Genomic DNA, 26,503 nt, shown 5'->3' on the forward strand with positions numbered 1-26,503 from the left:
AAGAAGTCTTGCATAAATGGTAAGATATCTCATATATCTGGATTGGAAAATATAATCATATTGTAAAAGATGTCCATTTTCCCCCAGTTGAGTTTAAAAATGTAATATAGTTTCAACCAAAGCCAAATAAGGCTTTTAGGGGGGTTGGGGGTAAGGAAGGAGATTGACAAAATGATTTTATATTTCATCATAAAAAATAATTGTGTGAATTTAACCAAGAAACTTTTTCAAAGGTTGAGTGATGAGGGAGGACTTTCCATCTGAGATATGGAGATGTTCTGTAAAGCCACAGAGTTACAGGGTTGTGGTGCTGATGGAGGAAGTGTAACAGATCAATGGGACTAAATTGATCTGTCAGAAACAAACACAAATATCTGAATGAATTTAACATAGATTAAAGAAGATAGGATCAATTACTCAATAATGGGTTAGGACAACTGACCATTAGGGGCAACTAACTAATCATTGGGGAAAAAATAAGTGTGTTTTCTACTTCAAATCTTTTTTTTTTTCTTTTTTTTTTTGAGATGGAGTCTCGCTCTGTTGCTCAGGCTGAAGTGCAATGGCGCGATCTCAGCTCACTGCAATGGTAAAAAAATTTTAAAAAGTTAAATGCAAAACCAAACTGAAAACCAAGAAAATGAAATTCCCCTAATGAGCAAACATACAAAAACAAAACAAAAAAAACAAGCTAATACACACACATACACATATACTACAAAAAAACAGAAAGAAAGGAGGAAAAAAGAAACAGAAAAAGTGGGGCAAATAGAAATGAAGCCAAAAGTCTGGGAACTAGCCAAAATATATCAATAATCATAATGAAATAAAGTGACCCATTAACAGTCAGAGATTGTTAGATTGAAGAAAACGTACAAAACACAATTAGTTGCGTTTCTTTCTTTCTTTCTCTTTTTTTCCCTTTTCTTTTTTTTTTTTTTTTTTTTTTTTGAGATAGAGTCTTACTGTCGCCCAGGCTGGAGTACAGTGGTGCCATCTCAGCTCACCACAACCTCCGCCTCTCGGGTTCAAGCGGTTCTCCTGCCTCAGCCTCCCGAGTAGCTGAGATCACAGGTGCCTGCCACCACACCCGGCTACTTTTTTTGTATTTTTAGTAGAGACGGGGTTTCGCCATGTTGGCCAGGCTGGTCTCGAACTTCTGACCTCAAGTGATCTGCCCGCCTCTGCCTCCCAAAGTGCTGGGATTACAGGCGTGAGCCACTGCACCCGGCCAGTTGCAGTTTCTAAGAGGTATTTCTAAGGTATGAAGACACAAAAGTGCTGAAAGCCAAAGGATGGCAAAAGAAATACCAAGCGAAAACTAACTAAAATAAAGGTGGTTAGCTGTGTCAATTTCAGATTAAAATAGACAAGTATTATTAGAAGTAGAGATATGATATAGTGATACAGTTTTAACTCATCAACAGATAAAACAAATTTAAACTTATACAAAACTAATTTTAAAAATCTAAATATTACATAAAGCAAGAATTAATAGAACCACATGGAGAAATTGAGAAATTAATCATCATTGTGAGGTTTTGACAAGCCTCTGTGAAATATTAATGCCTCAAAAGAGGCCAGGGGCAGTGGCTCACACCTGTAATCTCAGCACTTTGGGAGGCCAAGGTGGGTGGATCACTTGTGTCCACGAGAAAAGCCTGGCCAACATGGTGAAACCTCGTCTCTACTAACAAATACAAAAATTAGCCAGGCATGGAGGTGCATGCCTGTAATCCCAGCTACTTTGGAGGCTGAGGCACGAGAATCACTTGAATCCAGGAGGTAGAGGTTTCAGTGAGCCAAGATCAGGCCACTGTACTCCAGCCTGGGTGACACAGTGAGAATCTGTCTCAAAACAAAACAAACAAACAAACAAAAGATTTCATCAAAAACAATTAAACTGGATTTGATAATCATATATATAACCCTACACCCAATTATTGAGAAACAGTCATATTCTTCTCAAGCCCAGCTGGAACAGTTACTGAAATAAATCACGGGCAAGGCCACAAATCAAGTCTCAACAAATTTCAGAGAACTGATGTCATGCGGACCACATTCTCTGACCACAGTGCCATAACAAAAATAGTTTTAAATGATAAAACTGGACACTTCTAAATTGCCTCTAGGTCAAAGAAAAATAATCACACTGGAAACATTTTAAAAATACTTAGAACTGAAGCTGGGCACATTGGTGCATGCCTGTAGTCCCAGCTACTCTGGAGGCTGAGGCGGGAGGATTGCTTGAGCCCAGGAGTTTAAGGCTGTAGTGCACTATATGTTGGTACCTCTGAATAGCCACTGTACTCCAGCCTGGGCAACATAGCAAGACCCTATCCCTAAAAATAAGTTAAATAAATACTTAGAACTGAATGACGATGAAAATATTACATATCAAAACTCGTGGGACACAAGTAAAAGCCATACATAGAAGGAAATTTGTGGCCTCTTAAATGCTAATCTGAGAAAAGAAGGCTGAAAATTAATAAACTGTCTAAGAAGTTAGAAAAAGGACAATAGGGGCTGGGCACGGTGGTTCACACCTGTAATCTCAGCACTTTGGGAGGCCGAGGCGGGTGGATCACCTGAGGTCAGGAGTTTGAGGCCAGCCTGGCCGAAATGGTGAAACCCCGTCTCTACTAAAAATACAAAAAATTAGCTGGGTGTGGTAGTGGGCACCTATAACCTCAGCTACTCAGAAGGCTGAGGCAGGAGAATTGCTTGAATCTGGGAGGTGGAGGTTGCAGTGAGCGGAGATTGCACCACTGCACTCCAGCCTGGGTGACAGAGCAAGACTGTCTCAAAAAAGAAAAAAAAAAGGGCAATAGATTAGTCCCTACCTCCTAAAAAAAGGAGATAATAAAAATAAGAGCCATGATTAATGAAATAATAAATATTTGTCAGAACCAAATGAAGCCAAAAAATGGTTATTTGACAACATAAACACATATCTGGCAAGATAGATAAGAAATAGAAAGTACAAGTAAATAATATTAGGGTCAAAAAAGAGACATAACTACAGATGCAGTAGAGATTATGAAAATAACATATAATACTGTGAATAATATTAGGCTCATAAATTTTAAAACTTAGATGAAATGGCCATTTTTTTCCTGGAAAAAAAATAACAAAACCAGCTCATTCCAATTATGTACAAACCCTTTCAGATGACTGAAGAAGAAAGAATAGTCCCCAACTCATTTTATGAGGGCACCATAACCTTGATATCCAAACTAGATAAAGATAGAAGAAATAAAAATTACAGGCCGATTTTATTTGTGACGCTAGATACAAAGATAGGAAACCAAAAATGATTATACATTATGACCACTTGGGTTTAACCCAGGAATGCAAGGGTAATTTGGCAGCAGAAAATTCTATGGTGTCATTCATCATATTAACCGTGTAAGAGTCCGACAGGACGCTTAAAAGGCATTTCATAAAATTATCAGTGTTTGGGGGCGGGGGGGAAATCTCTTAGAAAACTAAGAATAGAATTTCCCTAACCTGAAATAGAGTATTTAGTAAATGCCTATAATAAACACTTAATTTTAACAAAGAAATACTAGGAAGAATCCTATTTATTCGTTTATTTATTTATTTTGAGACAGTCTCGCTCTGTCCCCCAGGTTGGGTTGCAATGGCGAGATCTCGGCTCATTGCAACCTCACCTCCCAGGTTCAAGCGATTCTCCTGCCTCAGCTTCCCGAGTAGCTGGGATTACAGGCACGTGCCACCACGCCCGGCTAATTTTTTGCATTTTTAGTAGAGATGGGGTTTCACCATGTTAGCCAGGATGGTCTCCATCTCCTGACTTCGTGATCGGCCCACCTCGGCCTCCCAAAGTGTAGGGATTACAGGCATGAGCCACCACGCTCGGCCGAAGCATCCTTTTTAATATCAGGCATAAGCTACAACATAGATGAACCTTGTAAACTTTATTCTAAGTGAAACAAGCCAGTTGCAAATCACCCCTGTATTGTGTGATTGCATTTGTATGAAATGTTTGGAACAGTCAAATTCATAAAGACAGAAAGTCAACTGGTGGCTGCTTAGGGATGGTTGGAAAGAAATAGTTAAGTGACTGCTAATGGGCATGGGGTTTGTTTTTGGGGTGATGAAAATGCTGATTGGGGTGATGGTTGCACAACTCTGAATATCCTAAAAACCACTTTAAATGAGTGATTTGTTTGGGATGTAACTTTTTTCTCAACAAAGGTATTTTTGAAAAAGCATGTGAAGAGCAGGGTGTTTCCAAGAGCAGTTAATTTTAAATAAACACATATGGATTCAAAAAAAAAAAGATCAGGCACAAGACAAGGATGTGCCTTGTTACCACTTCTATTCACCATTATATCAGATACCCCAGCCAGAATATTAAGATAACAACACAATTTAAAAACATTGTAAAGGAAGAAGAAAAGGCCATTATTCAAAGAGTATATGCTTGTCTATACAGAAAACTGAAAAGAAGACACAAAGAAATTATTAAAAATAGGCCAAGCACGATGGCTCATGCCTGAAATCCTAGCACCTTGGGAGGCTGAGGCAGGTGGATTGTCTGAGGTCAGGAGTTTGAGACCAGCCTGGCCAACATGGTGAAACCCCGTCTCTACTAAAAATACAAAAATTAGCTAGGTGTGGTGGCTGATGCCTGTAATCCCAGCTACTACGAAGGCTTAGGCAGGAGAATCGCTTGAACCTGGGAGGTGGAGATTGCAGTGAGCTGAGACTGCGCCATTGAACTCCAGCCTGGGCAACAAGAGCAAAACTCCATCTAGAAGGAAAGGAAAGGAAAGGAAAGGAAAAAGGAAAGGAAAGGAAAGGAAAGGAAAGGAAAGGAAAGGAAAGGAAAGGAAAGGAAAGGAAAGGGGGAGGGAGAGAGACAGAGAGAGAAAGAAAGAAAGAAGAAAGAAGAGTGAGCGAGCAAAAGAAAGAAAGAAATTATTAGAAATAAGATTGGCAGTTAAGATAACTGGCTCTAGAATCACTGTACAAAAAAATGGATTCCGTTGCTGTACACCAGCAACTAACAAAATACATATTTTTTTAAATTACAAGATAATTGTTGCAACATAAGCTAGGACAGTAAACATAAAACATTTACAAGACAATATACAGAATACTGTAAAACTTCACTGAAAAACATAGAAATAATTGGCAAGTTATCCCATTTTATGGACAAAATGTATTATAAAAATATCAACTCTCTTCAAACTGACCTATAAGATTCAATGCAATCCTGGAGAAGCACTTCCAAAACGGCAGAGTGGAGACCCCCCAAAATTCATTCCTCCATAAAAGCAGTGAGAACACTGGCAAAAAAAATAAAAAATAAATAAAATAAAAACCTTTTTAGAACTCTGTAAATTAACCAAAAACTTGCAACAATCTCAGGAGCATTTATTCAAGAAAAAATGCTGACTCTCAGTAAGAACAGTGAGTTCTGCAGCATTTTTAACTTCCCCTGTTCTCATCTCCCTCTCCCCAGCTCTGAGGTAGACTTGAAAATCTTACAACCATGGTAGCTGTGCAAAGCAGCAATGTTGCAGCCACTGGAGGAGGCAGGTGGTTTTGGGGCACCCCCAAAGGTCCCATCCCAGAGAACTGTCACTATTTGACTGCGCTGGCAATTCCCTGGAAAAGCCCCATTCACAGATGTTTTTATTTGACCTGACTCAGAGCTTGCCCTACTACTGGAGTATTTGTTGAAAGCAATCAACAGCAATTGTTTAACAGTGCAGCTGCCTCTGGCAAAATCTGGGAAATGAGCTAGGGGGCTTTGGAAAGCTCTGACATAGTCCTGGAGATCTAGAAGAGTAGGCACATGTTCATGCCCGTGAAAGACCTGACAAGGCCCCAGTCTCTCACCTCAAGCTGACCTTCGGCATGTGCTCAAGCAGGAAGTGAAAGTTAAGGCAGAGATGTAAACTAACTAGGGCAATCAGAGTGTTTGTCAACACACACGCACAGTTCCCTGGCAAAGTGCAGGGAGATCAATTGGTTTGGGCATTTAAAGAACCTCTATTTAAACATTAGCTGACCACTAAGCTAAAGGAGCACAGACTTCCTTGGCCACACAAAACAAATAATACAGACTTCATAGAATTAGTACAGGAAAGCCACTAAACAAACTAAACAGTAGCAGCAACAACAATATCAACAAACAGCAGCAACAACAAACGCTGGGAAGGGGGTGTGAATCTGATTTCCAAATGTAAAATGTCCTGTTTTCAACTACAAATTATGAGGCACTCAAAGAAACAGTATATCCCACACACAGGAAATAAAAGTCAATAGAAATTGTCTCAGAGGAAGCCAGATGTTGGACATACTAAATAAAGACTAAATCAGTCTTTATAAACACGTTAAAAGAAAAACATGTCTCATAGCAAAGTATAAGAATGAAGTCTCACCAAATCTGATGCGACCAACCCCAAGAAAAAATCCCAACAAAGTTGTAAGTGGAATTTGCTCAGGTGTTTCAGTACTGTATATGGAAGAGCAAGGGACTGAGAATATACAAGATACTCCTAGGAAGAAGTGTGGCCAGGCACAGTGGCTCACGCCTGTAGTCCCAGCTACTCGGAAGGCTGAGGTAGGAGGTTGAGGCTGCAGTGAGCCAAGATTGCACCACTGAACTCCAGCCTGGGCAACAGAGTGAGACCCTGTCTCAAAAAAAAGGAAGTGGGTGGGCAGAGGTGGTGGTGTGGTTTTTCCTTATGAAGGATCAAAATGCGTCCTAAAGCTATGACTGGGTGGTACTGGTGCAGGTATAGGCAGGTCAGTGGAAATAGATCTGCACATATGTGGAAGTATGATTTAAGACCTAGATGGCATTACAGGTCAGAGGAGAAAGGGGGAGCCCTTTCAATACATGTTGCTGGCATAGTTGATAATTCATATACAAAAATAAAATAGAATCCTTTCTATCTTGTACATAACACAAAATTAGTTCCATATGAATTACACTTTATCAGCTAACGGAAATTTTCTAGTTTGATGAATTTTTATTCTGAACAAGTGTTGAATTTTATCCAGTGCTTTTTCTGCATCTATTGAGATGATCATATGTCTTTTTATCCTTTGTATTGTTTCATGGTGAATTTCATTGGTTGATCTTTTAATATTAAACCAATTTTCCAATCCTAGAAAATACTCCACTTTGTCATATGCATTATCTTACTTGTACACTGTGGGTTGAATTTGTTAACATTTTGTTTAGAACTTTGCATCTATATTCATGACAGAATTTGTCCTGTTATTCTCTCTTTCTGTAACGTCTTTGTCAGGTTCTAGTATCCAGTTATACTAGCCTCACAAAAAGACTTAGAATGTGTTTCCAGCTGGGCATAGTGGCTCACACCTGTAATCCCAGCACTTTGGGAGGCCAAGGTGGGAGTATGGTTTGAGCCCAGGAGTTCAAGACCAGCCTGGCCAACATAGCAAGAGCCTATCTCCATTATTATTATTATTTTTTAAAGTGTTTCCTCTTCCTCTATGCTATTAAAGAGTTTATGTAATATTAGTACTGTTTCTTCCTTAGATGTTTGAAATAATTTATCTGTAACATCATCTGGGCCTAGAGTTTTCTTTGTAGGATTAAAAATTTTTTTACAGCTTTATCGAGATATAATTGATATACAATAAAGTGCACATATGTAAACAGTGCAATTTGAGAACTTTGGCCATACATATAGACCCATGAAAATACATCTCCACAATCAAGATAATGAACGTCCTTTACTCCCAGAAGGTTTCTTGTGGCCCTTTCTAGTCCCTTCCTCCCATCCATCCACTGCCTCTAGGCAACCACTGACCTGCTTTCTGTTACTATAGATTAGTTTTCATTTTCTAGAATTTTAGAATTTTAAATAAATGGAATCATATAGTATGTACTCTTCTTTGTCTAGATGCCTTCATTCATCTTAATTGTTTTGAGATTCACCATGCTGTTGAATGTGTCAAAAGTCCATCCTGGCTGGGTGTGGCGGACCAAGCCTGTAATCCCAACAGTTTGGGAGTCTGAGGCAGGAGGATGGCTTTAGCCCAGGAGTTCAAGACCAACCTAGGCAACATAGTAAGACCTTGCCTCTACAAAAAAAAATTAAAAATTAGCTGGGTGTGGTGGTGTGCACCTATAGTCCCAGCTACTCAGGAGGCTGAGGCAGGAGGATCACTTGAGCCAGCTGAGGAGGTGGAGGCTGCAGTGAGCCATGATCACCCCACTGCACTCCAGCCTAGGCAACAGGGCGAGACCCTCTCCAAAATAAAATAAAATAACTCCATCCTTTTTATTGCTAAATAATATTTTGTTGTATAGATTTACCCTAATTTATCTATTTACCTTTGATGGACATTTAGTTGTTTTTTTTTTCAGTTTTTGTCTATTACAAATAAATCTGCTATGAATATTCATATATAAGTCTTGGCATGAACACATGCTTTCATCTTCCTTTGGCGAATATCTACAAGAAAAATGGCTGATTATGTGGTAGATGTATGTTTAACACTTTAAGAAACTGCCAAACTGTTTTCCAAGCCAGTTGTATTGTTTTACATTCTTACCAATAGGTCTGGGTTCCAAGTGTTCCACCTTCTCACTAACATTTGCTATTGGTACTTAATGTGGATTTACTTTGCATTTCCCCAGTGACTAATGGTACCGAACATCTTTTCATGTGCTTATTTGCCATTGTAGATACTCTTTGGTGAAATGTCTGTCCAAATATGTTTCGGATTTGAGAAAGTCAGAAAAATCTGACTTTGCTGATTTTTCATTCCCCTATTAGAAACCTCTCCCTATGGCAATCCTGACCCTAACTTTGTGCTTAGATTCAGCAAATGTCCTTTGGACCAAAGAGGCTGTTGATCTTGGCTCACCTAAGCAACATTCTTCCTTTTTTTAGTTAATCTAATTTTATTTGCTTTCCCAGATCATTGATGCATTTAAAAATATGATTATTGATATGGTTTGGCTGTGTCCCCACCAAAATCTCATCTTGAATTGTAGCTCCCATAATTCTCATGTGTTGTGGGAGGGACCCAGTTGGAGATAATGAATCATGGGGGCAGGTCTTTCTCATGCTGCTCTTATGATAGTGAATAAGTCTCATGAGATCTGATGGTTTTATAAAGGGGAGTTTCCCTGCACAAATTCTCTTTTCTTGCCTGCCACTATCCATGTAAGATGTGACTTTGCTCCTCCTTTGCCTCCTGCCATGATTGTGAGGCCTCCTCAGCCATGTGGAACTGTGAGTCCATTAAACCTCTTTCCTTTATAAATTACCCAGTCTCAGTTATGTCTTTATTAGCAGTGTGAGAACAGACTAATACAATTATTATAATTTATCTAGTGTTTCAAGCTGTTACAACAGAAACTTATCACTAGTTTCTTGCATTCTACTTTAAAGCAGAAGTTCCTCAGATGGATTAAATACTTAAATGTGAAAAACAAAACTTTAAAACATTGAAAAGAAAATACAGATGAAAAGGCCGGGTGCGGTGGCTCACGCTGGTAATCCCAGCACTTTGGGAGGCTGAGGTGGGCAGATCACCTGAGGTCAGGAGTTCAAGACCAGCCTGACCAACATGGAGAAACCTTTTCTCTACTAAAAATGCAAAGTTACCCGGGCATGGTGGTACATGCCTGTAATCCCAGCTACTTGGGAGGCTGAGGTAGGAGAATCACTTGAACTCGGGAGGCGGAGGTTACAGTGAGCCAAGATCATGCCATTGCACTCCAGCCTGGGCAACAACACCAACGACAACAAAATGTAAAAACACAAACCCCATAGGGCCGGGCACGGTGGCTCACGCCTGTAATCCCAGCACCTTGGGAGGCCGAGGCGGGCGGATCACGAGGTCAGGAGATCAAGACCATCCTGGCTAACACGGTGAAACCCTGTCTCTACTAAAAATACAAAAAAATTAGCCAGGCGTGGTGGTGGGCGCCTATAGTCCCAGCTACTCGGGAGGCTGAGGCAGGAGAATGGCGTGAACCCGGGAGGTGGAGCTTGCAGTGAGCCGAGATCACGCCACTGCACTCCAGCCTGGGCAACAGACCAAGACTCCATCTCAAAAAAAAAACACACACACACAAAAAAACCACAAACCCTAAACTTGGAGAATATGTTTCCAACACATATAACTGACATTTAACACCCCAAATAGATAAGATACTCTTATAAATCAATAAGTTAAAGAAAACATCTGAGTAGAAAATAGGCAAAAGACATAAACTTGCATTTCACAGAAAAAAAATTCATAGCCAATCAACTTATAAAAAGATGCACAATCTCATTAGTAATCTACAAGTTGAAACCACAGAAGTTCAGAGAGTGGCAGTCTCTTGGAAAGGGGTAGCATTATGATCAGGGAGAAGTCCATGGCAGGCTTGTTGGGAGAGGGAGTGGCATTTTATTTCCTGGTGGTCATTCCAAATTTTATAATTATTTATTAAACCATACATGCATGCTATGTGCCCTTTCTAAATGTATTTGCAGTCTACAGTAAAAAGAATTTTTAATGTTCTTTAAAAGTAGGCATCTTTTGGCCAGACGCGGTGGCTCACGCCTGTAATCCCAGCACTTTGGGAAGCTGAGGCAGGCGGATCATGAGGTCAGGAGATGGAGACCAGCCTGGCTGACACGGTGAAGCCCCGTCTCCACTAAAAATACAAAAAATTAGCTGGGCATGGTGGCACGAGCCTATAGTTCCAGCTACTGGGGAGGCTGAGGCAGGAGAATCGCTTGAACCCAGGAGACTGAAGTTGCGGTGAGCCAAGATTTCACCACTGCACTCCAGCCTGGGTGACAGAGCGAGACTCCATCTCAAAAAAAAAAAAAAAAAAAAAAAAAAAAGTAGGCATCTTTTTTCTTTATATCAACATACACAATGTTATACGCCTCTTTGACCTAGAAACCATTTTGTTTCCTGAAGGTGATACTGCCTAGTTCTAGTAGACTCCACCCTGGCTCACCATAGTATTTTACCATTTTTTTCAAAAGGCAAACTCACTGACAACATTTGTTGCCCGTTGGGAGAAGTCCCGCTGCCTCCCCAGTGCACCAACATCAGCAGGATTTAGGGGTTCTGAATAAGGATGCCTCTCAATTCAAACCACTGGGTCAACAGATAATCAGTCTAAGGTAAAACATTGTCGTTGTCACCCATCCCCAGCCCAACTTTCCTTGGTTCTGGGCTGTTCTGAATCCCACAACTGCAGAGCCTGCCTTGGTGGCAGAAGAAGATTTGATTAAACCTGCTCCTTCTGAGGCAGGGTCTTTCACCATTTTTAAGTCATGGACCCCTTTGGCAGCCCAGTAAAGCCCATGGACCTCATTTCAGGATAATGTTTTATTTTTTTTGTTTTGTTTTGTTTGCTCAGGCTGGAGTGCAGTGGCGGGATCTCAGCTCACTGCAAGCTCCGCCTCCCGGGTTCAGGCCATTCTCCTGCCTCAGCCTCCCGAGTAGCTGGGACTACAGGCGCCCGCCACCACCCCCGGCTAATTTTTTGTATTTTTAGTAGAGACAGGGTTTCACCATGTTAGTCAGGATGGTCTCGACCTCCTGACCTCGTGATCCGCCCACTTCGGCCTCCCAAAGTGCTGGGATTACAGGCGTGAGCCACCGCACCCGGCCAGATTAATGTTTTAAATCTGTAAAACAAAATAAGCAGGATTATAAAGGAAACCAATTATACCGTAACAATTATATTACAGCTTTAACATAAATAAATCAAATTGGAAATCTAGTAATAAATGTGCTTCTTTATTAATGCATTAAATAACACGATCTCGTGGCGGAACTAATAACTGGCATAATTTCCAAATAGCGACAGATGCAAATGACATTTTGAGTTACCTCCAACTGCTGTAATGTGATGTAAAAAATACCTGTAAATTTATTGGTGACAAAATCACAAGTACTGTTTGTTGACACTACTGTGATGTGTTGCCTACATTGATTATTCATGGAAATGCTAAATTTCAGTTGAAGATGAGTGAAAAATTAGATGCATATCTTTTTCCTCTCAAAGTTCAGGGACTCCGGGTTAAGAACCCTGAGGTGTAAATGGACACCGACTGCCACTAGGGGGTGCTGGTATTTTAGGAAGAGGCGTTTGCTCCTCCAGAGGAGAGAGGGTGAACTCCTTGAGTCTCTTTGCCCTTTTCTCTGGCGGGCTTCAGAACTCACAGCCCTGGAACATCTCCTCCTGGCCTCCCAGCCACCTCCAAACCCTCACAAGCACATCCTGTTGACAGTGGAGGTGCAACTCTTGGTGTGACCATCTATAACTCATGCAGAGGCCTCCTCAGTGAATCCTCTGACCACCAGCACTCAGAGGGGTGTACGGCCCAGTGGGTACCACTCACAGCACCTGAGCCTAGGTCCTTGCAGTAACCACAGTCCTGACTCTAGGCCATCGGGGCCAGCAAGAACCCACAAGACACTGCAGGCTCTGGTTCTGAGCAGACTCCTCAGGCCCTGCCCGGCTTCCTTCTGTGGTTGGTGGGCAGCCAGGCAGGTCCTGATGAAACCTGAGGAGGGCCACCAGCCTTTCTCCCCTCCATAATTGGGGGCCCAGCAGAATTGGATAATGGTCTGCAAGTTACCTGAATCTTGGGCTGAGACACCGTGGTAGTCAGAGCTGCCGAGCGTTCACAGATGTCTTGCCTGATTCCTCTCAGGATGAGAGTGGAAATAACTTTCTTTCTGGGCAGAGTTTGATGATATTGCTACATCATCCTCTGTAGGCAAAACAGCAAGAGTCTGCTATTCCCACCTTGTGCTTGCACTGGTAGGAGAGCCAGCTTTGAAACCACTCGAGGGGCAGTGTGACAGAGTGACAAAGGAGACTCCAGACAACTTGAATCAGAAAACCCACCCCTGAGGCCGGGCGTGGTGGCTCACACCTGTAATCCCAGCACTTTGGGAGGTCCAGTGGGGTGGATTGCGTGAGGCCAGGAGTTTGAGACCAGCCTGGCCAACATGGTGAAACCCCATCTCTACTAAAAATACAAAAATTTGCCAGGCATGGTGGCGCATGCTTGTAATCTCAGCTACTGGGGAGGCTGAGGCAGGAGAATTGCTTGAACCCAGAAGGTGGAGGTTGCAGTGAGCTCCAGCCTGGGTGACAGAGTGAGACTCCGTCTCAAAAAAAAAAGGAAAGGAAAGGAGGAAGAAAAAAGAAAGAAAGAAAGAAAAGAAAAGAAAGAAAGAAGAAAGAAAGAGAAAGAAAGAATGAAAGAAAGAAAGAATGAAAGAAAGAAAGAAAGAAAGAAAGAAAGAAAGAAAGAAAGAGAAACAAAAGAAAGAAAAGAGAAAGACAGACAGACCCGACCAGGCACAGTGGCTCACACCTGTAATCCTGGCACTTTGGGAGACCTTGATCACGAGGTCAGGAGATTGAGACCATCCCAGCCAACATGTTGAAATCCCATCCCTACTAAAAAAAGTACAAAAATTAACTAGGCGTGGTGGCATGAGCTGGTAGTCCCAGCTACTCGGGAGGCTGAGGCAGGAGAATTGCTTGAACCCAGGAGACGGAGGTTGCAGTGAGCAGAGATCATGCCACTGCACTCCAGCCTGGGTGACAGAGCAAGACTCTGTCTCAAAGAAAAGAAAACCCAACCCTGCCACTTACTTAGGTTCCGTTTAACTTTAGGTGAGTCATTTAGAATCCATGCCTCAGTTTCCTCGTCTCCCAAGTGGAGATAATAGCCCTGACCTTATAGGGTTGTTATTTGGGTTAAATGACATGCTACACAGAAAGCACCTAGAAGAGTACCCGGCCCATAGTAAGTACCAAGTAAGATTTTGCTATTATTAATAATTGGTATGAAATTGATAAAATGAATAAAATTCTTTCTCTCCTTGCCTCCACTTACCCAAACACCAACTCCACTTTCTTTCTCCCATCATGACTCTGTTTGCTCCTACAAATCAGATTCTTTTTCCCTTTTTAAAGAAAGAGTCTGATTTCCCAGCCTTGGCAACATAGCAAGACCTCATTGCTACAAAAAAAAAAAAAAAAAAAGCCAGGTGTGGTGGCACACACATTTAGCCCAGCTACTTGGAAGGCTGAGGTGGGAGGATGGCCTGAGTCCAGGAAGGGGAGGACGCAGAGAGCTGTGATTGAGCCACTGTATTCCAGCCTGAGTGATAGAGTGAAACCCTGTCTCAAAAAACAAGGTTTATTCCTTTTCACCCCAAACTTGTCCCTGTCCCTCCCTCATGACCTTCCTGGGAAGCATAGTAAAACATGCATCAGGGCAAGAGCCTGGAGACCTGGGGTTTAATTCCACTTCTGGGCTTCCCCTCCCTGAGCCTCAGCTAAACATCCAAGGATCCCTTTGTTTTAAAATATAGGTTGTGTTGGCTGGGTGCAGCAGCTCATGCCTGTAATCCCAGCACTTTGGGAGGCTGAGGTGGGTGGATCACCTGAGGTCAGGAGTTTGAGACCAGCTTGGCCAACATGATGAAACCCCGTTTCCACTAAAAATACAAAAAAATTAGCCACGTGTGGTGGTGGGTGCCTGTAACCCCAGCCATTCGGAAGGCTGAGGCAGGAGAATTGCTTGAACCCAGGAGGTGGAGGTTGCAGTGAGCCGAGATCTTGCTATTGCACTCCAGCCTCAGCAATAAGACCAAGACTCTGTCTCAAAAAAAAAAAAAAAAAATGTAGGTTGTCTTATTATTCAGGTAATGCCGAGGACAGCAGATCAGGAGACAACTACCATTGAAAAAAGAGTTTGCTACTCACAGTTCCGGAGTGGAAGGGACATGCCATGCCACACAGGGCCACACGGGGGAGCCCAGGGTTGGGCAAGAGGCAGAAGGAACAAGAGGAAATCAGGGCAGGGGCCTTAACTATGGTTTCGGAGGGAAAGGCAGGCAAGGCAAGGTTTAGGATTGGCAAGTGTGAGTAATTTTGGCGGGCTCCAAGGTATAGGGGATTTCTCTAGTTGTCTGACACTTGGCCCTGGGGTGACTAGGACAAGTCGTGAGAGTTTGGGTGTGGGCTCTGGATTGGTTGGTTTGCATATCAAAGGTGTGCTCACAGCGTAGTCTTTGCCATCTCTAGGGATTAACTAACCCTGGAAGGGACAGTCCCTCCAGGATCAGCAAACCCCAGACCCCAAAGCATCAAGAATACAGAAAACAAGAAGACGTAGTTAATATACCCTTCTACTATGAATGTGGTTTCATCAGCCACTTTATACATGTCCAACAATACATATTGCTGCTATGACATCATGACTTTTTATCTTCACAGGGGATTCTGACATAGGGGTTAAGGATACCGTCTCTGGAGTCAGACTACCTGGATCCAATGGTAACCTCTCTGTGCCTCAATTTGTAGCTCCCTCATTTTATAGCTGTGGGATTTGGGGGCAATTACTTAACCTCTCTGTGCCTCAGTTTCCTCATTTGTAAAATGAGGATGCTAGTTCCTTATTTCTTAGCACGGTGGCCATTAGAAAAACTATACTTGTAAAGAAAGCTCTTAGAACAGGCTGGGCATATAGGGAGCAATCAATACCTGACAACTATTGTGATTTCTTGATCATGTCAAGCTGCCTTCCAGATTAGAGTTTTCACCTCTGCTGTTCCCCGCGCTGGGAAGGCTCTTTCCCACTCTCTTCACCTGGGTAACACCTTCTCTTCCCTCATGTTTCAACTTAAATGTCACTTCCTCAGCGATGCCCCCACGTCCCAGGCCCCTAGCCTACCCAGCCTTTGTTATACTCTGTCACATGGCCCCTGCACTTCCTTGTAATGCTCATCATAGTTGCAATTGCACAGCTGTTTGTGTTACAGTTTATTGAACATCTGCCTGCCTTTCCCTGTAGACCGTAAACCTTAGGAGAGCAGGGACTGTGTCTGTCTGGTTCCTGCTGTGTCCATAGTGCCTGGCATACCAAAGGTGGTCAATAAATGTCTGTGCACTGGATAAACCACATAGGTTTACAGCTGCAGGTGCATGGATGCCTGGGTCAGAGGCCATCTGGACTCTTGTCTAATGGCAGAAATCCAAAGTCACAGGCTTCTGACCCCTTTGTTTGATGATGGGCTTCTGATGAAGGGCTTCTGGGCCCTTCAGCTGCCCTTTTCAGGCCAGGGAGTCTGGGAGGGAATTCTTGAGGATCAAAATCCATGTTGTAGATGACCAGCTGGCCTGGAGACATCAATTGGCAGAAGTGATGGAATGTGTACGGAAAGATGCAGCTGCCCTGCTCAGGAGGGACTTCATCCTTGCTTTGCTAAACCAGCTGAATTCCAGGAATACCAGCGAGGGGATTGGGTCATGTCATACCTGCCTCTCGAGACAAGCAAGCCGAAAGCTGAAGGGGGCAGGGAGGTGCTAGAACTGCAGAGAGAAAGGAAGGGCCAGATGTACGGACCGGAAAAAGCCCTGTAGCAGGTGGAGGTGAATATAATTAATGGAGCCCAGTGAGCAAGTCTGCACATGCCAACGTCAAAACCTCATCCCAAGGAGCCATGGTCTCACTAACCCCATCCCTGAGAGGGCAGAGCAAGAATAGTTTGAGATTGACATGCCAAGCAAATGTATAGCAGGAAATTCTCCTAAGCCAGGGGTTTGGTCAGAGGCCCTGGCCCCTGTGGCTAAAATCAGGATTATGTCTGTACTGATTTACTTCCCAGCTGGGTTTCAGGAAAAGCCTCAAAAAGACCACAGGGTTGTGCCTCAGATTGGCACATGAGGCCAGCTTCCCTTGGGTCTGTGCTTTCTGGACAAAAAGCTAATACGAAGGGAGATACTCAGAGGAAAAGGCCCCATCCCACAGCCTCCCTCTCTCTATAGCCCCCTTTGAGTCTTGGCAAGTGTATTTGTGACAGCTAGAACAAATCAAATGTATTTTACAAGTTTAGCCTCAAGCAGACCAAGTGCCAGCTTTGGTAGACATGTCCAAAGGGATTTTGACCCTGGACTAGTGGTTCTCAATGGAGATGCTATTGTTCATTTAGAGATTTGGGGGGTCGTGGCTTTGGCTGTCATAGTGATTGGCAGTCACTACTACCATTTAGTTGTCAGGGACCAGAGGTACTATATGTCGTCAATGCATGTAAGCAACCATTGTGCACAGGAAAGGGTTGTCAGCCTTCCCCTACAACTTTTAGATACCCCACTGGATATTCATGTAGATAAAATATAATCTGTGCTCAGAGCCTACCTTTATTTTGTTTATGTACACAAAGGTTTGGTTTGGTTAGGTTTTCACAATTTTAACATACACTGCAGTTTCCAGGAAGGCAACTTTACCAAGTGCTGTTGCCTACTTTGGAAAATCACGTTACCTGGGGCAATGCCACTCTAGGTGCTCTAGGTGTTGGAATTACCAGAGCAACACATCTCTATCAGACCTCATTTGTTACTATGGTGTTCTTGGTAATGCTACACCTAGGTGCAAGCAGCTGACTACTTCAATATGTCATCTAACATAGTTGTGCCCAAGCATTTACATATTGGAATGTGTGTTATTTTATTTTATTTATTTATTTTTGAGACGGAGCCTCACTCTATCACCCAGGCTGGAGTGCAGTGGCACAATCTCGGCTCACTGCAACCTCTGCCTCCCTTGTTCAAGTGATTCTCCTGCCTCAGCCTCTTGAGTAGCTAGGACTATAGGTGTGTGCCACCACATCCGGCTAATTTTTTGTATTTTTAGTAGGGACAGGGTTTCACCATGTTGTCCAGGCTGATCTCGAACTCCTGACCTCAAGCAATCCACCTGCCTCGGCCTCCCAAAAATGACGGGATTACAGGTGTGAGCCACTGTGCCCAGCCCATGTTATTTTATTATACTTGGCTTCTTCTTCTTCATATTGTGTTGATATAGTGGAGGAAATTATGGATGTTGGAAGGCAATATGATAAAGGGGTGTGTTATATATTTTATTGTTTTTAATTATTTATTTTTTTGAGATGGAGTCTCGCCCTGTCGTCCAGGCTGGAGTGCAGTGGCGCAATCTTGGCTCACTGCAACCTCTGTCTCCCGGGTTCAGGCGATTCTCCTGCCTCAGCCCCCAAGTAGCTGGGATTACAGGTGCCCGCCACCACGCCTGGCTAATTTTTGTATTTTTAGTAGAGTTGGGGTTTCACCAAGTTGGCCAGGCTGTTCTCAAACTCCTGACCTGAAGTGATCTGCCTGCCTCGGCCTCCCAAAGTGCTGAGATTACAGGCGTGAGCCACCGCGCCCAGCCAAGGGTGTGTTATAGAATATTTGTTACAAAAAAAGAGGATGATGCTGTGGAAAAACTCAGACAGGTGCATCACTGCCTTGGTTGGATGGCAGTACATGAGTCCACATGGAGCTAACGCTTTACCCAAACCATGCCCTTTATTTGTAGACATCCACTATTTTCTCTAAATAGAAGAAAACTTTTTTTAGTGAGTGGAGCTGATTAGAAAAAATTTGTTCCATTATAGTTGATATCGTTATATATAACTCACAGATGGACCCACATCACTAGCAAACTATTTGTATCGTTTCTCCAAGCCCAGCATTTACTGTGCGAGCCACCTGGGGGCCATTTTTGTTGCCCGAGGTGGTGCGCCTGCGCCACCTGGTGGACTACGGGAAAGTAGCAGATCGGTGAGATGGGTTGAGGCACCTTCATTTGCAGATGGGTAGGCAATAATAACATGAATATTATCAGCTAATGCACTTATAGGGTGCCTATAAGTGCATTAACTCCTGCAGAACTCACAAAATCTTTATGACATATAGTCACTGTTATCTCCTTTTTGCCCATGAGGAAACCGAGGCAAGTAGTGAGTAGAGAGGCAGAGCTGGGATTTGAAGCCTAGTGGACTGGCTCCACAGTTGCTGCTTTTAATCACCCTGCTATAAGCTGGGCATGGTGGCACACAGCTGTAGTCCCAGCTACTTTGGAGGCTGAGGTGGGAGGATCACTTGGGCCCTGAGATGGAAGTTGCAGTGAGCTGAGATTGCAGCACTGCACTCCAGCCTGGATAACAGAGTGAGACCCTGTCTCAAAAAATAATAATACAATTAAAAAATTAATCAGTCTGCTATGGACTTGCAAGTAGCTGCTCTCTTGGGAGACACTATTCTGAGAGTCAAAGGCTGTACTGTGAACATAGGGCTGCCTTCAGCCATCTCTTTCAGGGCAGTAGGGTTACAAAGACAGAGAGAAAGGATGGTGTGCTCAGTGGCTCACACCTGTAATTCCAGCACTTTGGGAGGCCAAGGTGGGCGGATCACCTGAGGTCGGGAGTTCGAGACCAACCTGACCAACATGGAGAAACCCTGTCTCTACTAAAAATACAAAATTAGCTGGGCGTGGTGGCGCATGCCTGTAATCCTAGCTACTCGGGAGGCTGAGGCAGATGAATCGCTTGAACCCAGGAGGCAGAGATTTCAGTGAGCCAAGATTGCTCCATTGCACTCCAGCCTGGGCAACAAGAGCGAAACTCCATCTCAAAAAAAAAAAAGAAGAAGAGGAGGACTAGAAAGAGAGTACCTAGTATTAGGACATGGTAAGATCTAGAAGAGTCTTGCCATTGTATGGACCATGGCAATCTTTGTGCCTACTGTGTGAGGAGGGTGTTTCATTCTTTTGGCAATGAAGGGCTCTAGAATGGCTGAATCCCTAATTATGTTGCAAGCTTCGTGAAGGAAAAGTACACATTCCCTGTTCACTTCTGTGTCACCAGTATTTACCCCAGGACCTGACAGGTATTGAATGTTCAATAAGTATTTTTATTTATATAACATCTGTGTTGAGATATTCATATACCATAAAATTCATCCATTTAAAATTTACAATTCAATTGTTTTTAATATATTCACAGAGTTCTGCAACCATCACTGTAATCAATTTTATCACCCCTAAAGGAAACCAGGTTACTATTAGAATTCATTCCCCGTTACCCCCAACTCCTATCTCTAGCCCTGGCAACCACAAATCTACTTTGTGTCTTTATGGATTTGCCTATTTTGGACATTTCATTATAACTGGAACCATACAATTTTTTTTTGTTGTTGTTGTTGTTTGTTTGTATGTTTTTTTGAGATGGAGTCTCGCTGTGTCGCCAGGCTGCAGTGCAATGGCGTGATCTCGGCTCACTGCAACCTCCGCCTCCCAGGTTGAAGAGATTCTCCTGCCCCAGCCTCCTGAGTAGCTGGGACTACAGGCGCGCACCACCGTGCCCAGCTAATCTTTGTATTTTTTAGTAGAGGTGGGGTTTAACCATATTGACCAGGATGGTCTCGATCTCTTGACCTCGTGATCCACCCACCTCGGCCTCCCAAAGTGCTGGGATTACAGGCATGAGCCACTGCACCCGGCCCACAGTCGTATTTTTTGACTGGCTCCTTTCACTTAGCATAATGTTTTCAAGGTTCATCCACTTTGCAGCATGTATCAATTCTTTATTCTTCTTAATGGCTGAATAATATTCCATCGTATGGATATATTGCATTATATTTATCCAATCATTAGTTGATGGACATTTGGGTTGTTTCCAGTTTACGGCTATTGTGAATAATTCTGTTATGAACATTTGTGTATAAGTTTTTGTGTGGACATGTGTTTTCATTTCTTTTGGATGTATTCCTAGCATTGCAGTTGCTGGGTCATATGTAAATATGTAACTTTACATTTAACCTTTGAGGAACTGCCAGAGTATTTCCAATGGCTGCACCAGTCTACATTCTTACCAACGAGGTATAAGGGTTCCAATTTCTCTATATCCTCGCCAACACTTGTTATTATCTGTCTTTTTTATTACAGCCATCCTAATCATTGTGAATTGGTTTTTCATTGTGGCAGGGCTGTTGCTTTTTAATCATAGGCAAATAAACACCCAGCCTATTGAAGCTGGATGGTACCACAACAACCATGTGGTCCAATTTGTTCATTTTATAGGAGAAGCAACGAACGTGTTAAGAGAATAAGAAACTATCTCAAGGTCACACTTAGTAAAGGAGGCAGTAACAGAACCTATAGATTTTTTTTTCTTTTAAGAAAGAAAGGAAATTAAAGCCAGATGGCATAAAAAGAGAGATAGAGAAAGAGAGTCTTCTATAAAACCTAGGAGAAATTTCTTTAACCATAAAACCAGAAGATGCTGGGTGCAGCAGCTCATGCCTGTAATCCCAACATTTTGGTAGGCTGAGGCAGGAGGACCACTTGAGTCCAGGAGTTTGAGACCGCCTGGGCAACAAAGAAAGAATCAAGGCTGGGTGCGGTGGCTCACACCTGTAATCCCAGCACTTTGGGAGGCTGAGGCGGGCGGATCATGAGGTCAGGAGATCGAGACCATCCTGGCTAACACGGTGAAACCCCATCTCTACTAAAAAAAAAAAAAAAAATACAAAAAATTAGCTGGGCATGGTGGCAGGCGCCTGTAGTCCCACCTACTTGGGAGGCTGAGGCCGAAGAATGGCGTGAATCCAGGAAGGGGAGCTTGCAGTGAGCCAAGATAGCGCCACTGCACTCTAGCCTGGGCAACAGAGCGAGACTCCATCAAAAAAGAAAAGAAAGAATCAAAAAGATTTTTTGATTCTACAAAAAAATTGAAAAATTAGCCAGGCATGACAGTGGTCCCAGCTACACAGGAGGCGACGGTTCTCTATTTATTCCTTCAGTCATTTTAATGGTTATTGGGGGAGGTGTGTCAGTGGACCATCTTGGACCAAGGTTTGGATCCCTTGGGCCCAAGAGTTCAAGGCTTCAGTGAACTGCGATCGCACCACTGAGCTCCAGCCTGGGGACAGAGCAAGGCCCTGTCAAAAAAAAAAAAAAAAAAAAAAAAGCACAAGACAGACAATGAATCAATAACTAATAAAGGATAGTCATAAATAGTTAGTCATGGATCCTCTACTACGTCTTAGGTGCAGAACACGGTAAGTGCTTTACATTTGCTTCCCTGTTTAATGCTAGCAACATGCCTATTTTAGAGAGTTGAAGTGTAAATAAAGGATTATGACCCTAGACTCTTATATCTAACTACTGTCTGTGTATAAAGTAACAGACAATCTGAGACATGCGAAGACTCAAAAAATCCACCGTCCATCCACCCTTCCCCCAAGGTTTACTCAAAGTAGCATTTCAGTGGTGTGAGAAATTAATCAAAGTAAGGAACTCAGGAATGAGGAAGTCATTTACGTAAATGAAATGACAATAAACAATGTAGGCAGAAAAACTGAGTTAGAAGGCTGGGTGCAGTGGCTTACACCTGTATTCCCAACACTTTGAGAGGCCAAGATGGAAGGATCACTTGAGGCCAGAAGTTCCAAACCAGCCTGGGCAACTCATTGAGACCTTGTCTCTACAAAATAAAAAGTGTTTTAAAAATTAGCCGGGCGTGGTGGCATGCACCTGTGGTTTCAGCTACTCGGGAGACTGAGATGGGAGGATCTCTTGAGCCTGGGAGGTCAAGGCTGCAGTGAGCCATGATCCCGCCACTGTACTGCACTCCAGCCAGGATGACTGAGCAGGGCCCGGCGCCCCCACCGCCCCCCGCCCCCACACACACCTGCGCCACCACCGCCCCCCACCCCCACACACACCCACTACCAAAAAAAAGAGAAAAACTGAGTTAATTATGAACGTAGTTTGAAATCACAATGCCAATGTCAAAAAATGATTCTTCAAAGAGCAAGCATATGATGTAAAATTTTAATAATGGCCTGAAGCTAGGATCCTAGTTTATGCCGGCAAACCTGTGTCCTCCAGCAGCCTTAAGCTCGGCAGAGATTCCCAGGCGCCGGCCTCGCGGGTGAACTGTCACACGTACCCAGAGCTTGGAGGAGGCGCGCCGGGGGAGTGTTGTGCTGGGGATTCCCAGGCCGGCTCCTGCTTCTCGCCTGATGAATGTGGAGTTCCTTCAGCCATCCCTCGGATCCTCTTAAACTTTTCTAAGTTTCAGGAGTGTGAATGACGCATTCCCCTAGTGTTAAGTGGCGACAGTTCTCCCTCTATTTTATCTCTTCAGTCATTTTAATGGTCATTGGGGGAGGCGTGTCAGCAGACCATCTTGGATGAAGGGCAAAAAGACCAGTTAGCATGGAATTGAGGTTTGTCGCTGGTGATGGCAGTGGGGACATGATCGCACGTCCTTGGGTCAGACTTCTCAGCTCTCTCCTCCCCATTTTTACCCCCAGCACTCGGTCAAACAAACAGACAAACAAAAAGACCCCTGCAACTCCCAGACAAACCAAAGCTAGAGTGTGTAGGTTGGGTGGCTTTCTGTTGGATAGTTGTGTGTCCCAAGTTACACGCATCCTATCTTGGCCCAGCTCCACTGGAGCCCGAGCGGCGGGGCGCAGGGTGCGAGCGGGAGGCTGGTGTTCTGCCCGCGATGGGCAGGGGAGCCGGGTGGCCGCGGGGCGAGGAGCCGCGAGGGCCGGGCCGGCGTGACACCACCTGGCGGAGTCTCGGGGAAGAGTCTTAAAGGCGCGCGCTCCTCCGTGCCCCGCGCACTCGAACGGGAGCCGCGGAGAGCTCGCCTCCCGCTGCCGCCGGCGCCTCGGGGAGGTAAGTGCCACCCGCGGATCCCGAGTCGCGGCCGGGTGGGGGCGGCCCGCGGCTGCCCCGCGCTCGGGAAGCTCTGGCTGGGGCTGCGGTCGGAGGGCGGCGCCCAAGTTTTCTTGAAGGCCTCGGAGGGCAGCTGGAGCGGCGTAGAGCCTGCGCGGGGATGGCGGGGGTGGCCGCGGGCCGGGGCCGTCTGGGGGCGGCCATCCCGGGCGGTGCGTGGAAAAGTAGGCACTGGTGCGCGGCGAGGGGCGCACGCCAGAGCCCCAGCCCCGCGTCCTGCGCACTTGGCGCGCTCTGGCCGCGGTCCCGGCGAGCCCCAGCCTGCTCCGGGCCGCGACCCCGGCTCCGCGCCTTCCTGCCCGCCCGGGTCCTTTGTAGCCCGCTGGCCCCGCGGTCGCGCACGGTCACGCCGGCAGGTCGCGCTCGGCGGCCGGCCAAGCCAGCCCCGGCCCTGCCGCGCCCGCGCCCCGGGCCACCCCGCCCGGCCCCCTCGGCGCTGCACCCCTCGCTTTCCCCATCTCCAGCCGCTCGCTATTTTCACACCTCCCGGTGCCCCGGCCCCGGCGCCTGATTCAGTGCTTAGTAATTAATTTGGCGTTTCAGAATGGTCAGCGGGCTGGATAATGGGTGCATTCATCCCCCGGGCTAATCTGAACAGAGGTGGGAAGAAAGGCTTTCACAGACAGAAAATGCCATTCGCCGAGCGCTCAAAGGGGCTGTCACTCCCAGAATAAATCGCCGCCGCGCCCGCCGGCTCCTCTGGCCATTTCCATACAGCTCCGGCCCGCGCCGCGGACCCGCCGGCCTCGGCCTCGGCTCCCGGGAATCACTCACTCGAGTGCCTTCGACGGGAAAGTCGGGCGAGAGCTGGACCCAGGCGGGGGCCGAGGGAAACGGGGAAACTGGAGACTCGGGTGAAGGCCGCAGGGGACAAAGAGATTGATTAGAAAATCAAACGCGCATCTAGAAGGAGGCGCAGGCGACTGCTCAAGGCGCGGACGGCGGAGCTGGGGCTCGGGAGCGTCCGTCCAAAACCCCCGAGGTTCGCCAAAGAGGAGGGCCCGCGGCCCAGACCCTCCGGAGCGTGCCCGAGGCGACACGGCAAGCTTCTGGGGCTCCCAAATTGTGAATGGAGTTCAATGCACAAGCATAGATAGTAGAAACAGGGTCGACCTGCACAGACTTTTTATTCCGAGTTCCTTGTGCTATCAGCCCCGTCGCCCTCGCGGCCTGGAAGGTGACACGGTGTCTTCCCCGGCCTCCTGCTCGCCACCCCTGTTGGGACCCTCGGGTCCGCCTGGGGACATCTGCTGAGCGGGTGACGGAGGCTTTATCCTTTGATCCCTTCTGGATCCGGTGACGCGCTAAGTGTTGGGCACGTACGGCCTACGGAGTTTGAATGCTGGGGCCTTCCTGTTGCGGCACCCCCAGCCCACTGGTGCAGCGGGATCGTGCGCTCCCGCCGCAGCCCTAATCCAGAGGACCGCGCCGCGCCAGCGCCTTCAGCCAGGCTGTGGCGCCTCCAGTGGGTAGGGCTGGCTCGGCTCTAGCCAGGTGAAGCTCCAGACTCTGGATTTTCCCGTCTTCGGGGTTCAGCGTGTATCCACCTCACCCGGCCGACTTGGCCCTGGGCCCTTTCACCCAGTGGAATCCTGCCACTGGGAGAAGAGAAAGAGCTGTGGCTCTATGGCGAAATCTTAGCTCGGTTGAGAGGCAGAACTGACACAGCTGGGACGAAGGGGAGTTTCTGGAATGGCCAGATGCGTGTCCCAGGTGTGTAGGGGAGATGGAATCTCCGTACTACTCATCAACTTCTGAGTGGAAGTCATCCCTCCCCTCTGTGTCTGTTTCCTCATTTGCAAAACAAGGATAAAATGAGATCACATGTGGCCCCAAGTAAGGGGGCTCTCAGTAGAAGGATCCCAGGCACCGCTCCCACCACTGACCACCAACCTTGCTGCACCTCCCCCGCATCTCTCCACGTCTTCACCAACATTCTCCTGGGAGCTTTAGCGACTCCCAGATTTTCTCTCAGGCTGCCTCCACCCACCCCTTGTGGCTTTCGGGTTCTGATATCCAGCTGTCCTTGAAATCACGCTTTCTAAGAGTTGGAAACATCCTTCCACAGATTCTAGAGCCATTATACAGATAGTGATATTGAGGCCTAAAGTGACTTGCAGTTGTCACCCAGCTAATTAGAGGGCTTGAGCCAGAATGGATTTCATGGCAAACAGTGAATCTCGGACTCTGGGCATCAGACTTCCAACCGCCCCCACCCCGACCCAACACACACACACATACACACACACCCTCCCTCCTCCTCCCCACCGCTGCCCCACAGCTTCCCTACGTCTGGGGAGGGGCCCAGAAGGCTGCATTTTAAACAAGCATCCTGAAGCATGTTGATGCAGGTGGTATAAGGACCATATTTAGGGGAATGCAGCCCAAATCAGGTTCTTTACCTAGCAGGCCCTTCTCTCCCAGGACCATGGGCTTTGCTTGTTCTATGTGCGTCACATATGATCTGCAGAACAGTCTTTTCGGTGTCCTCCCAGACTGGAGGCCATAGTGGGTGAGGTCTATTTCTAGGAGATGCTCCAGTATCCTCCAGAATGTGCAGCCAATGAGGGAGCGGCAGGGGGTGAACTGTGCACCCAGCCAGATGAGGAGAGGCCAGAGTGCACCGCAGGCTGCCTGGATGTTGAGTCCCCAAACCCAGGGGCCTTCTCTTACCAATGTGCTTTCACAGCTGGACCTAACACTGCACACTGCAGGCCCCACACAGACAGTACAAATGTGCCCAGAGGCCCCCCTTGGCAAGGCAAATCTGCCCACGCCAGGGACAGAGCAGCCGGCCATAGGGGGACCCATGCCAGCAATAACCCAGGTGTGAGCTGTGGCCCAGAATGCCAGCACCTGCCCCTTCAGCATGCTGGGGTTTGGAGGTGTGAAGTGGGCGGTGGAGG

The 26,503-nt window shown here is 45.7% G+C and overlaps 1 protein-coding gene across 1 annotated transcript in view, besides 5 other annotated features; it reads left to right on the forward strand.

The window, feature by feature from the left end:
* Positions 12,186-12,255: an enhancer, noted in NCBI's record as "active region_11720". NCBI's record gives its function as "activates an Ori minimal core promoter by ATAC-STARR-seq in GM12878 lymphoblastoid cells {active_cell/tissue: GM12878}" and the evidence as "EXISTENCE:reporter gene assay evidence [ECO:0000049][PMID:35858748]".
* Positions 12,366-12,415: an enhancer, noted in NCBI's record as "active region_11721". NCBI's record gives its function as "activates an Ori minimal core promoter by ATAC-STARR-seq in GM12878 lymphoblastoid cells {active_cell/tissue: GM12878}" and the evidence as "EXISTENCE:reporter gene assay evidence [ECO:0000049][PMID:35858748]".
* Positions 23,401-23,510: a silencer, noted in NCBI's record as "silent region_8193". NCBI's record gives its function as "represses an Ori minimal core promoter by ATAC-STARR-seq in GM12878 lymphoblastoid cells {active_cell/tissue: GM12878}" and the evidence as "EXISTENCE:reporter gene assay evidence [ECO:0000049][PMID:35858748]".
* Positions 23,480-26,503, forward strand: part of NTN1 (netrin 1) — a 240,914-nt gene continuing 237,890 nt past the window's right edge. Inside the window, exon 1 of the mRNA XM_047437096.1 lies at positions 23,480-23,537. The gene's annotated coding sequence lies outside the window, so the exon portion shown is untranslated. The remainder of the gene's footprint in view (positions 23,538-26,503) is intronic.
* Positions 23,541-23,590: a silencer, noted in NCBI's record as "silent region_8194". NCBI's record gives its function as "represses an Ori minimal core promoter by ATAC-STARR-seq in GM12878 lymphoblastoid cells {active_cell/tissue: GM12878}" and the evidence as "EXISTENCE:reporter gene assay evidence [ECO:0000049][PMID:35858748]".
* Positions 24,215-24,844: an enhancer, noted in NCBI's record as "H3K27ac-H3K4me1 hESC enhancer chr17:8907139-8907768 (GRCh37/hg19 assembly coordinates)". NCBI's record gives its function as "activates a minimal SCP1, AML or CMV promoter by ChIP-STARR-seq in primed H9 embryonic stem cells {active_cell/tissue: H9 hESC(primed)}" and the evidence as "EXISTENCE:reporter gene assay evidence [ECO:0000049][PMID:30033119]".

Source organism: Homo sapiens, chromosome 17, assembly GCF_000001405.40.
Source record: "Homo sapiens chromosome 17, GRCh38.p14 Primary Assembly".
NCBI lineage: Eukaryota > Metazoa > Chordata > Mammalia > Primates > Hominidae > Homo > Homo sapiens.